At 46.1% G+C, this 12,748-nt stretch overlaps 1 annotated feature.

Moving 5' to 3' along the window:
* Positions 11,035-11,662: an enhancer, noted in NCBI's record as "H3K4me1 hESC enhancer chr2:100146131-100146758 (GRCh37/hg19 assembly coordinates)". NCBI's record gives its function as "activates a minimal SCP1, AML or CMV promoter by ChIP-STARR-seq in naive H9 embryonic stem cells {active_cell/tissue: H9 hESC(naive)}" and the evidence as "EXISTENCE:reporter gene assay evidence [ECO:0000049][PMID:30033119]".

The following is a 12,748-nucleotide window of genomic DNA, read 5'->3' as shown; positions in this document are numbered from 1 at the left end:
CTAGGAAGTTTAAGTGGATCCCTCCCCCTAAGCAGGCCAAATCTCTTATTCCTGTTTAGGAATCCCATCTCCCAGTCTGCTTTTAAGATATCTGCACACCCGGAACCTAAAATCTTCACTTTGGGGGTTACCCATATCTGCATGAGGCAGTGCAAACGTTAAACCCCCTTTCTCTCTCTCTCTCTCTCTCGTGTCACCACAGTTGCATTTATCATATTGCAAAGAAAACTCCACATTCAAATCATGAATAATTTAATAGTGAATTATTTTGGCACAATCTTAGGAAGGAGTGGAGAACACATCTAATATTAAGAATTTGTCTAGAAGGATCTTGTATTTTATCTGAGTCTAAAATTTACAAGTGCAAAGATGATGGAGTCTTTGACCACTTACTTTACTGTTTGGAGATTTTGCTGTTTCTATAAATTCACCTGAAACTCACGCAGTGCAGTTCCTGGGATGGGGAAACATCTTACTGTACCGTAACAGAACGAGCCTTAAGGATTCGTAAGCATAAGCACTTTTATATTTAAAGGGAAATATTAATTTATCAGTGAAATTACTTTTTTAATGTCTCAATAAACCTTGAAATCAACATCACTCTGTCTCTAAAACATCCTAGTGTCTCTTCCTTAAACTTCTTTCCAAGTAAAATGTTGTCCTTTCACATGTGTTACGTTTTGTCTTAAATATAATCAACTAATCATAAAAAAACTACCTTTTCCCCTACAAAAGTATGAATCCACCCGACCTACTAAAATGGGCAACATCATTGTAAAGAAAGGAGCAGCAGCCAGGGGCAGTGGCTCAGGCCAGTTAACCCAGCCCTTTGGGAGGCTGAGGCAGGCAGCTTGCTTGAGCCTAGGAGTTCAAGATTAGCATGGGGAATATGGTGAAACCCCGACTCTACAAGAAATACAAAAATTGGCCGGGCGCGGTGGCTCACGCCTGTAATCCCAACACTTTGGGAGGCCGAGGCAGGCAGATCACGAGTTGAGGAGATGGAGACCATCTTGGCCAACATGGTAAAACCCCATCTCTACTAAAATACAAAAAATTAGCCGGGTGTGGTGGCGCATGCCTGTAGGTCCAGCTACTTGGGAGGCTGAGGCAGGAGAATCGCTTGAACCTGGGAGGCAGAGGTTGCAGTGAGCTGAGATCGTGCCATTGCACTCCAGCCTGGTGACAGAGCAAGACTCTGTCTCAAAAAAAAAAAAAAAAGAAAAGAAAAGAAATACAAGAATTAGCCAGACATGGTGGCACGTCCCTGTGGTCCCAGCTACTCTACTAGGGAGGCTGAGGTAGGAGGATCACTTGAGCCCAGGAGTTCAAGGCTGCAGTGAGCTATTATCACACCACTGCACTCCAGCCTGGGCAACAGAGTAAGACCCTGTTTCAAAAAAGAAAAAGTAAAGGCACACCAATCTGAGAATACTCTTGGAAGGAAATGTTAAGTAAGTGTCACGTTAGAGTGAAAAAGAAATAACCTGTAATAGAGCCTGGAATATTCTTGCTAAAGGGGGTTTTTTGCTTTTATGTTTTTTTTTAATATGTCTAAGCTTTATTTACTGTAAAGCAGTGTGCAAATGTAAGCTGTTACTTTGTGACATAATTCAAATAACCAGCAGACAAATATTTAAAATATTCAATGCTAAACCCCAACATAAGCCGTTTTTAGTTCACTACATTTCTTTCCCCTTTTCTTCTTTGAAATTTATTTTAAATCAAGTAATACAATGCTGCTTAAAAAAAAGTATACAATATAAATAGATAAGAGTTCCCCTTTATCCCCATACAGTTCACCCCAAAGAGAGCCACACTAGTCTTGAGCTCCTGGCCGCAAGTGATCCTCCGCCTCAGCTTCCCAAAGTGCTGGGATTGCAGGTGTGAGCCACAGCACCCACTCTTGTCAATTAGATATATCTGTCCATATTCATTTACATGTCTGTGTGTGTGTGTGTATGTGTGTGTATTTAACACAAATAGATTCACATTATACATGCTGTTTTGTGTTCTGAAACTTGCTTTTATCATTTAGTAGGAAATCTGGGACATTGTTCAGTATCAGTACAGAAAGATCTACCTCATTGCTTGGGACCTCTGCTCAGTATCTCTGTAGTACAATTCATCTTGGTTTATTTAACATTCCCTATTGATGGATATTTAAGTTGACTCATTACGTTTTTAAAAATTGATATATAATTCACAAAGCATAAAATGTATCTTTTACAGTGTAAAGTCCAGTGGTTTTTAGTGTATTCACAAGATTATGCAACCATCACCACTGTCTAATTCCAGAACTTTTTTTTTTTTTTTTTTTTTGAGATGGAGTTTCGCTTTTGTTGCCCAGTCTGGAGTGCAGTGGTGTGGTCTTGGCTCACTGCAACCTCCGCCTCCCAGGGTTCAAGCAATTCTCCTGTCTTAGCCTCCCGAGTAGCTGGGATTACAGGCACCCACGATCACTCCTGGCTAATTTTTGTATTTTTAGTAGAGATGGGATTTCACCATGTCGGCCAGGCTGGTCTTGAACCCCTGAACTCAGATGATCCAACCACCTTGGCCACCCAAAGTACTGGGATTACAGGTGTGAGCCACCGCACCCAGCCTCCACAACATTTTTATCACCCCAGATAGAAACCCTGGACCCATTAGCAGTCATTCCCCAATCTCCCCTCCCCACAATCCCTGGCAACCACGAATCTAGTTTCCATCTCTGTGGATTTGCCCATTCTGGACATTTCATATAGGTGGAATTATACAATATGTCTCCTTTTGTGTCTGACTTCTTTCACTTAGCACAGTGTTTCCAAGGTTCATCCATATTGTAGCATGTTATCAGCACTTCATTTTTATTTACAGCTGAATATCTCCTTGCATGGAGAGAAACACATTGTTTTTATCTATTCATCAGTTGATGGGCATTGGGTTATTTCCACCTTTTGGCTACTATGAATAATGCCAGTATGAACATTCATAGCACAAGTATTTGTGTGAAGATATGTTTTGAATTCTTTTCAGTATATACCTAGGTGTGGAATGGCTGGGTCGTGCTACCTGTATGTTTAGCCTTTTGGGAAACTGCCAATGCATTTTCCACAGGAGCAGCACCATTGTATATTTCCACCAACGAGGAACGGGATTTTCCATTTCTTCATGTCCTTGTCAACACTTGTTATGGTCCATCTTTTCTTATTCTAACTATCCTAGTAAGTGTGACGTAATATTGCATAGCAGTTCTGCTTTGCATTTCCCTAATACTAAGGATGTTGAGCATCCTTTTATATAGTTATTGGCCATTTTATATCTTCCTTGGAGAAATGTTTATGCAAATCCTTTGCCCATTTTAAAATTAGGTTATTTGTCTTTTTATTGTTAAGTTGTAAGGGGTTTTTATATGTTCTGAATGCTAGATCCCTATCAGATATATGATTTGCAAATATTTTCTCAAATTCTGTGAGTTTTCTCTTCACCTTCTTGATACTGCCTTTGGTTGTGCAAAAGTTTCTCATTGTGATGAAGTTTAATGTATCCATTTGAAATTTTGTCTCAGGCTTTCATGTCATATATAAGAAGGCTTTGTTCAACTCAAGGTCATGAAGATTTGCTCTTATATCCTCTTCAAGGACTTTCAAAGTTTTAGCTGTAGTATTTAGATCTGTGATTCATTTTAAGTTACTTTTTGTGTATGGTGTGAGGTAGGGGTGCAGCTTCATTCTTTTGCATGTGGATATCCAGCTATCTCAGCACCATTTATTAAAAAGAGTATTCTCTCCCCACCCCCCATTGAATTTTCTTGGCACCCTTGTCCAAAATGAATTGGCTGCACACACGAGGGCTTATTTCTGGACTCTCATTCCCATTCCAATAACCTCTATATCCATCCTTATGGCAGCACCACACCATCTTGATTACTGTAACTTTGTAGTAATATCTGAAATCAGGAATGTGAGTCTTCCAACTTTGTTCTTCTTTTGCAAGATTATTTTGGGCTAAATGTTTCTTTTTAAATTAACTATCCATTGCATATCATATTTCCTATAAATGAACTTGTTCCAAACAGGGGACTATCTGTTCCAGTTTAAAAAAAAAAAAAATACTACATGCCTTAGTAGCATGGCTTACAGGACTGTATGAAAAGTACCGAATGACTTCATGAGCCTTTTACTGCCAACCAAATTCCTGACCATTCTCAGTCTCTGTTCTCCAAGAGACAAGGCCCATATGAGGGTTATTGGGCTGGTGTCCAGCTGCCCCCTGCCCACCAAGCTGCAGTGTTTTATACATGTAATATGTCTCCCCAAACCATGGTGACCTGGGGGCAAATAGAAGCACAAAGCTGTTCCAGCAATTTTTATGACTGCAAACTCCAGCAGCTTCCCCCTGCCCCCCTGTCCCTGGTCCTTCACCCCTAGCTCCGGCCCTGCTGCACCCTGCATGGATTTGTTGCTTTGTACACTCTGTCCCACCCAAAGGCACTGCCTGGTGCCTTTGGTGGCAGGTCATCAGAGGCAAAGGGCTGTGGCCACCTCTTCACTGCTTCCCTGCCCAGCATTCCTTCAGTGACTTCCAACTCTAGCCCAAAGTGTAGGGAGGGAGATTTTTCCTTCACTGGCTTGGATGTGCCTGGGATTGGGGTCCTAGCCTGGTGCTGACTCTGTCTTGGGGTGTCCTTAACGTGACTCTGGAAGAAAACTCTCTTCCTCCTGCCTCCTCCACTCCCATCACAGGGATCTCTCACCTGTGGTTCCCCAGACAGACAGAAGTATGCCAACTTGTATAGGCTGAGCATGTCCCCACAATTCACAGGCAGAAGTCCTGGCCCCCAGTGCCTCAGAATGTGACTGCATTTAGAGATAGGGCCTTTAAAGACGTAATTAAGTTAAAATGAGGCTGTTAGGGTGAGCCCTAATCCACTCTACCTGGTGTCCTTATAAGGAGATATGGACACACAGACAGCCACCAGGGGTGCACAGCACCAAGGAGCCAGGCCTGGAACAGATCCCTCCCTCACAGCCTTCAGAGGGGGCCAACTCTGCCAGCAACTTGATCTTGGACTTCCAGCCTCCAGAACTGTGAGACAGTCTATTTCTGTTGTTTAAGCCCCAGGTCTGTGGAATTTTGTTAGGGCAGCCTGAGCAAACAAATATCCAGCCCCTCCTCAGCATCTGGGCATCCTATGGGACCCCCCAGCTTCTCTGCTGAGGCCTCCACATCTCTCCAGGACACATCTTGGGCAGGACTGGAGGCTAGGCTCTAAATCAAGCCTAGACCAGCTCTCTTGCATGTGGCCCCACCTGATACACAGAAGGACATGTATTTGACCCAAGCAGGACAGGGGGGCACTGGTTACCTCCCAAACACATCCCTTCTCTGCTGCCACAGGCAGCTTTGACTTCCACACCTGTGAGTGTGAGAAATTATCCCACTACGCAAGCTGCAGAAGCACAGGCCAAACTTTCTCCTCAGCACTTCTCATTAGATGTGCTGGAACACAGAGAGCAGGGCTGAGACTCAGAACACAGCACCTCTTCCTGTCCGTAGTCCTAGCCCTTCCTGTGGCCTCTCCAGCGTCCTCTCCAGGCCTGAAGCAAGTCATCTCAACTCAGGTTCTGAAGCGCAGTTCTCTGCTATCTGCACTCCCTGCGTGGTAGGCCTCACCTCACTGTGGGACACGAGAGTGGTTGACACCTACTGTCTTGGGGACTCCTCAGAAAACAGAGTCCTGTGTGAACCTCCCATTAAACTAGAATTAAGACCTGCGTGGCTTCAAGTGAGGCCTAATGACACCGTGGGGTTTGTCTCTCTTTGCAGTGCCCAGCAAAGTGACCACCCTTCAGGCAGAGGACAGGGCCAGCTGGTGGGAACAGAAACTGGTGCAGCCACTGTGGAAAACAGCTTAGCAGCTCCTCCAACAGTGAAACCCAGGTTACCATATGACCCAGCAATTCCACTCCTAGGTATATACTCAAGAGAACTGAAAGTATATATTCGCATAAAAATGTGTACATGAATTTTCATAGCAGTGTCATTCATAATAGTCAAAAAAAAGAAAACAGCCCATCAACTGATAAATCAATAAACAAAGTGGGTATGCCCATATAGTAGAACAAAAAAGGAATATTGATACATGCTACAACATGCAAGAACCTTGAAAACATTGTGCTAAGTACAAGAAGCCAGACAAAAAAGGCCACATGTTGTAAGATTCCATTCATATGAAATGTCCAGAATGGACAAATTCAGAGAGTCAGGAAGTGGATTGGTGGTTGCCAGAGGTCGGGGAAGGAGAATGGGGAGTGACTGCTGATGGAGACAAGGTTTCTTTTTAGGGTGATGAAAATATTCTGGAATTGAGTAGTGGGATGGTTGCATAAACTTGTGAATATACTAAAAATTACTGAACCCTATACATTTTTTTTTTTGAGTCAGCATTTCGCTCTTCTTGCCCAGGCTGGAGTGTAATGGCACAATCGCAGCTCACTGCAACCTCGGCCTCCTGGGTTCAAGTGATTCTCCTGCCTCAGGCTCCCGAGTAGCTGGGATTACAGGCATTCACCATGATGCCTAGCTAATTTTGCTAATTTTGTATTTTTAGTAGAGACGGGGTTTCTCCATGTTGGTCAGGCTGGCCTCGAACTCCCGACCTCAGGTGATCCACCCACCTCAGCCACCCAAAGTGCTGGGATTACAGGCATGAGCCACTGCACCTGGCTTTTTTTTTTTTTTTTTTTTTTTTTTGGAGACAGAGTCTTGTTTTGTGTGCCCAGGCTGGAGTGTAGTGGCGCGATCTTGGCTCACTGCAACCTCTGCCTCCTGGGTTCAAGTGATTCTACCATCTCAGCCTCCCGAGTAGCTGAGACTACAGGCATGCGCCACCACGCCCAGCTAATTTTTGTATTTTTAGTAGAGATAGGGTTTCACCATGTTGGTCAGGCTGGTCTCAAACTCTTGACCTCAAGTGATCCACCCACCTTGGCCTCCCAAAGTGCTGGGATTGCAGGCGTGAGCCACCGTGACTGGCCAGGCTGGTCTTGAACTCCTGACCTCAGGTGATCCACCTGCCTCAGCCTTCCAAAGTGCTAGGATTACAGACGTGAGCCACCGCACCTGGCCTTGCTGTGGAACTCTAATTCAGGAGTATTTTCCTCAGAAGTTGGAAGAGATTGCTCCAGTTTCTTCTTGCATTCAGTACATCTTTGTAGTAATACAGTCTCACCTCTCCCCACTCCCCTGACCGCAGAAGCATTTGGGGTTTTCTCTTTATCCCTGTTGTCTGAAATGTCACCATGCTGTAGCTTGCCCATGATTCTGCTCAGCCATTCCCGGGCACTTTCACTCTGGGGCTGTCACCTGCCCTTGCCCTGGGAGCCCACCCTCCATGATTGCTCTGAGCACACTCTCTCTTCCGGTCCCTCTGTCTTGTCTTCTGAAGCTCTGTTAGGTGCACGTTGGGAACTATAGGGTCTATCTTCGAATTCTCTTAACCATTTTCTGTACTTCCCATCTCCTTGTCCATTTTTGCTATTCTAAGAGCATCCTGTGGCTCAGGCTTTCAATTTATTCTATAATCTCCAATGCTTCTGCCCATTTACAGAGATTTTTATTTCAATCATCAAATTTGTCATTTCCAAGATCTCTAAAACATTCCTTTTTATGGATGCAATATCATTTTACTTCTCTCTGAGGATTCTAATTATATATATGCCAAATCCTTGTGTGGATTCCTCTATTAAAACTGCTTCTTTGGATGTAAACTTTTCGATTTGTTAGGATTGATACCTCTCTTATGGCTTTTCTCAAATGTTGAGGGGTTATTGGTGTGAGCTCAACTCTGGGATTCGGTTTGCAGCCTCTCCACCAATGCTCTTTCTATAGCCTGCATTTCACCTCCTGGACAGAAAGAGCATGCCATCCCTCCTGGGCATTGCCGGGGCGCCAGCGACCTCTCCATCCCAACCATCTGAACCCTCTGCTCTATACTAGGGGCTCACATCTTGCTGCCTGCTTCTTGGCCTGAGGATGGAGAAGTTGCTGCTCCTCTAGGGATCCTCCATGAGCATAAGCAGCCCATCCTTTAGGGTTTTTTTTCTTTTTGTGCCTTTTTTTGTTTTTTATTTATTTATTTTTTAAGAAACAGGGTCTCATTCTTTTTGCTCAGGCTGGAATGCAGTGGTGTGATCAGAGCTCACCATAGCCTTGAACTTCTGAGCCTCCTGAATAGCTGGGACTACAGGTGTGCCTCCACTGTGGCCAGCTAATTTTTTAATTTTTTATTTGTAGAGACAGTGTCTCCCTATGTTGCCTAGGCTGGTCTCAAATTCCTGGCCTCAAGTGATCCTCCCACCTCAGCCTCCCTAAGTGCTGGGATTACAGGCATGAGCCACTGTAGCTGGCCCTTATATTTTTCATTCTGCATAGCCTCTGGACTGTGATTTCCTTCTTCACAATGATCCCACACTTCTTCCATCTCTCAGAGGTGCCTCAAAGCTCCTGGACCTTTTAAGGCACCCTTTCTTGATTTTTAATGAAATCATGGATTTTATCATTATTATTATTATTATTATTATTATTATTATTATTATTATTATTTCTCTATGGCTGTCTTGATCCTCTCTCTGCTTTAAAAACATCAGCCAAGCATGGTGGCTCCTGGCTGTAATCCCAGCACTTTGGGAGGCCGAGGTGGGCAGGTCACCTGAAGTCTCCTGCCAGTTCGAGACCAGCCTGGCAAACATGGTGAGACCCCATCTCTACTAAAAATACAAAAGAAATTAGCTAGGCATCATGTCACGTGCCTGTAATCCCAGCTACATGGGAGGCTGAGGCAGGAGAACTGCTCAAACCCAAGAGGCGGAGGTTGCACTGAGCTGATATCACACCACTGCACTCCAGCCTGGGAGACAGAGCAAGACTCTGTCTCAAAAAATAAAATAAAATAAAATAAATCAAATGTTTGCCAGTGGCAGGAGAATTTCCATGTAAGCCTCAGATCTGACGCAGCTCAGACTTCCCACGGGGTGTTCTGCATGCTGGTGGGTGGGTTCCTCCTTCTTCTAACTTTCTTTCTTTTTTTTTTTTTTTTTTTTTTTTTGGCTCACTGCAACCTCTGCCCCCGGGTTTAAGTGATTCTCCTGTCTCAACCTCTCAAGTAGCTGGGACCACAGGCGTGTACCACCACGCCCAGCTAATTTTTGTATTTTTAGTAGAGACGGGGTTTCACCATATTGGTCAGGCTGGTGTCGAACTCCTGACCTCAAGTGATGTGCCCACCTCAGCCTCCCAAAGTGCTGGGATTACAGGCATGAGCCACTGCACCCGGCCCCGTCTAACTTGCTTTCTGAGAGTGCCTTGGCCATCTGGGCACCTCACTGAGGCTGCAACCCTGCTGGCTGCCACCCTACTTGGCTCCAGCTCTGGCTACTCTGGCCTTCCTGGTTCACTTTGCTGTTCATTCCCGCTGGCTGCTTTGCCACATCTCTGCTCAGTACATCCAGTGGGACCCTGGGGAGGTCTCTCCTCCCTGCAACCTGTTTTTGGCCTTTGTTGTCTCAGCCACAGCTGTGAGTCTAGTGTGAGGTAGATTTTTGGCAGGCACTCCTAATTTAGCCTTTAAAAATATCCCCTTGAGGCAGAAATATTTTCTCTATCAGAGATCACGTTGAGACCATTTCTACCCTGGCCTTGAAACAGGTGCACTCAGAAGTAAGGCCAGATGGTTCCGACCCACTGCGGGTCAACACAGTACATCCTATGCTGGGTATGAACCAGGAACCTAGTCCAGGAACAAGGGCAGAAGCCACCTTTTTTTTTTTTTTTTTTTTTTTTTTGAGGTGGAGTCCCGATCTGTCACCCAGGCTGGAGTGCAGTAGCTCAACCTCAGCTCACAGCAACATCTGCCTCCCTGGTTCAAGTGATTCTCCTGCCTCAGCCTCCCATGTAGCTGGGATTACATGCTTGTGCCACCACGCCTGGCTAATTTTTGTGTTTTTAGTAGAGACAGGGTTTCACCATGTTGGCCAGGCTGGTCTGGAACTCCTGACCTCAGGCAATCCGCCCACCATGCCTGGCCAGAAGCCACTTATTTTTTAATTTTTTTAATTATTATTATTTTTACTTTTTGAGACAGAGTCTCGCTTTGTCACCCAGGCTGGATTGCAGTGGTGCAATCTCAGCTCACTGCAAGCTCCGCCTTCTGGGTTCACGCCATTTTCCTGCCTCCGCCTCCCAAGTAGCTGGGACTACAGGCGCGCGCCACCACGCCCGGCTAATTTTTTGTATTTTTTGTAGAGACGGGGTTTCACCGTGTTAGCCAGGATAGTCTCGATCTCCTGACCTCGTGATCCGCCCCCCTGGGCCTCCCAAAGTGCTGGGATTACAGGCGTGAGCCACCGCACCCGGCCAGAAGCCACTTATTAATGCGGGGACACATGAGCTGGAGCAGCACAAGGAGGGTGGACTGAGCCACCTGGGCTGAGATGTGGCTTCTGACTCAGGACAGCCCAGAGTCCAGAGCCTGGGGCGCTTGGCATCAGCCATGGGCAGGAAAAGGCTGAGGGATGAGGAGCAGGTAAAAGGGTGCAGTCCTCCCCCTGGGACCCATTCTCAATGTGCCTGCTGACCAGAGAGGAGCAGTTCCACATTTAGTCATTGTGCCGTTAAGAAAGCAGCCATTGGCCGGGCGCGGTGGCTCACGCCTGGAAGCCCAGCAGTTTGCGAGGCTGAGGTGGGCGGATCACCTGAGGCCAGGAGTTCCAGACCAGCCTGGCCAACATGGTGAAACCCCCGTCTCTACTAAAAATACAAAAATTAGCCAGGCATGGTGGCGGGTGCCTGTAATCCCAGCTACTCGGGAGGCTGAGGCAGGAGAATCGCTTCAACCCAGGAGGCATAGCTTGCCGTGAGCCGAGATCACACCACAGCACTCCAGCTTGGGCAACAGAGTGAAACTCCATCTCAAAAAAAAAAAAAAAAAGCAGCTATTTAGCCTGGGACATGTCAAATGTGGTACATGGAGACATCGACATTGGTGGCTGATGTCATCACAATGCACTGAGGGTTATTTGTGCTAAATAAGGCAAGACCCACGGCAGGGGGCCAGGGCACTGAGTGGACAGGTGGATGCCTGAGCCTGGCCGCCAGAGCATGGGACCAGCCCCCTGGGGAGGCGAAGGCAGCAACAGCCAGTATGTGGTTCATGAAGTGCCGGGAAGACTGCTGCCCCTCCCTCAGGGACCAAAAACTCCTGGAGGTCCACCTCCAGACTCCTCTTTGTAAAAACCCACATTCCCGGTTCACACACGAGTCCCTGGCACCTCCATGACATCCCATCACTCTGTCTTCTTTTTAATTGACAGAAGGAGACCACTGCCCCAGCACTTGCCCCCTAACAAGCCATTAACCTCCAGTTGTTTGGCTGGAAAATGGGACCTTGATCCCAGAGAGAACTGACTTTGTGTGAATACTCCTGGTCTGTCCTCCTTATGCAGGCAGCGCTGGGATCGAAGTGGAGACCCCCGCAGTGGGTGAACATCGCAGCATCCCTGGGAGGGTTCAGCATGTTTATCTTGGGCTGAAGGTTGTAATTATGATTTAGGGGAATGCCACTTTATAATGACTTTTTCTTCGTTTCATGTAAATTAAGTTCCTAGTGTGCGTGGGAATGCATATGTCACTATTCCTAAGGGGAGTTGGAGAATTCATTAGTTACTGTCTGGGAAGTGTTCTGCAAATAAAAAGCTCTCCAAAAATGCGAGGTATTATTATTAGGTGCCTTCAATTTGTAAATCATCTTGAATGGGTTGTTTTGTTTTATTCTGTTTTGTTTCGGTGTAAAAAAGATAGCTTCAAACCCTGTATTCAGCAATGGCCAGTACACATATCAAAGAAAATATGGAAGACGCAAATGCATATTTCAATGGTTCTGGAGTATTCACTCCAAGAAGGGTTTAGGAAGCGCTGACAATTCCAGCCGAGGACTCTGAGGCCCAGGGGATGGTGCCACTAAATAACACCTGTGACCTTGAAAAGTGCATTAACTTCTCTGGGCTGTGGTCTCCACATCAGGAAGGTCAAGCAGTTGGGCTCAATGACCCCTACAATCCCTTCCGCACTGGCATTTCATGTAATAACCCATTGCACACAGGCCTGCCATTGACTGAGCCCTTGCAACAAGTGGGGCAGGAAGCTAGGGCTCCCTATCTGGTGTAAGGTTGGCTTACACATGGTGAAACTGGAAACATGCAACTTCTTCATGGTCACACAGCTGAGGGCAGCGGGGATGGTGCTCAGCCTCTCTCCTTCACTCCACTCATGGAGCTTCCAAATGGTCCAGAACACGATGAAGAAATCACTGAGTAAAGCAGGGACAGGTTCTCATTCTGTTCTCCTCTATAGCCACATAACCCAACCTCAGACTGGCCAGGAAAAATGAGGACTGTTAGAGGTTTCTGTGGATTCTCTTCCCTCTGCCACCTCTTTGTGGTCCCAGCCTCTTTCTCTACAGCTCAGGGTAGTAAGGGAGAGACCTGTTGACCATGGTGCACGCTTGAGCCCTAGAGGGGAAGAAGAAGGGAGGGAGGAGAAAGGAGATGAGGGAGGCAGAGAGGGAGGGAAGGAAGAAAGAGAGAAGAGGCAGGGAGGGAGCAAGGAAGGGAAACACAGTTGAATGACGTCTTTAGATCTGCCTGATTTCTTTTAATTCACATGGATTCATTAAGATGGAGAGGAAGGAGCCGTCATCCATGCTAAG

The sequence above is a fragment of the Homo sapiens genome, chromosome 2 (assembly GCF_000001405.40).
Source record: "Homo sapiens chromosome 2, GRCh38.p14 Primary Assembly".
NCBI classification, from domain to species: Eukaryota; Metazoa; Chordata; class Mammalia; order Primates; family Hominidae; genus Homo; species Homo sapiens.
Note: the sequence above shows the minus strand (reverse complement) of the source record. Positions and strands in the feature narration are given on the sequence as shown.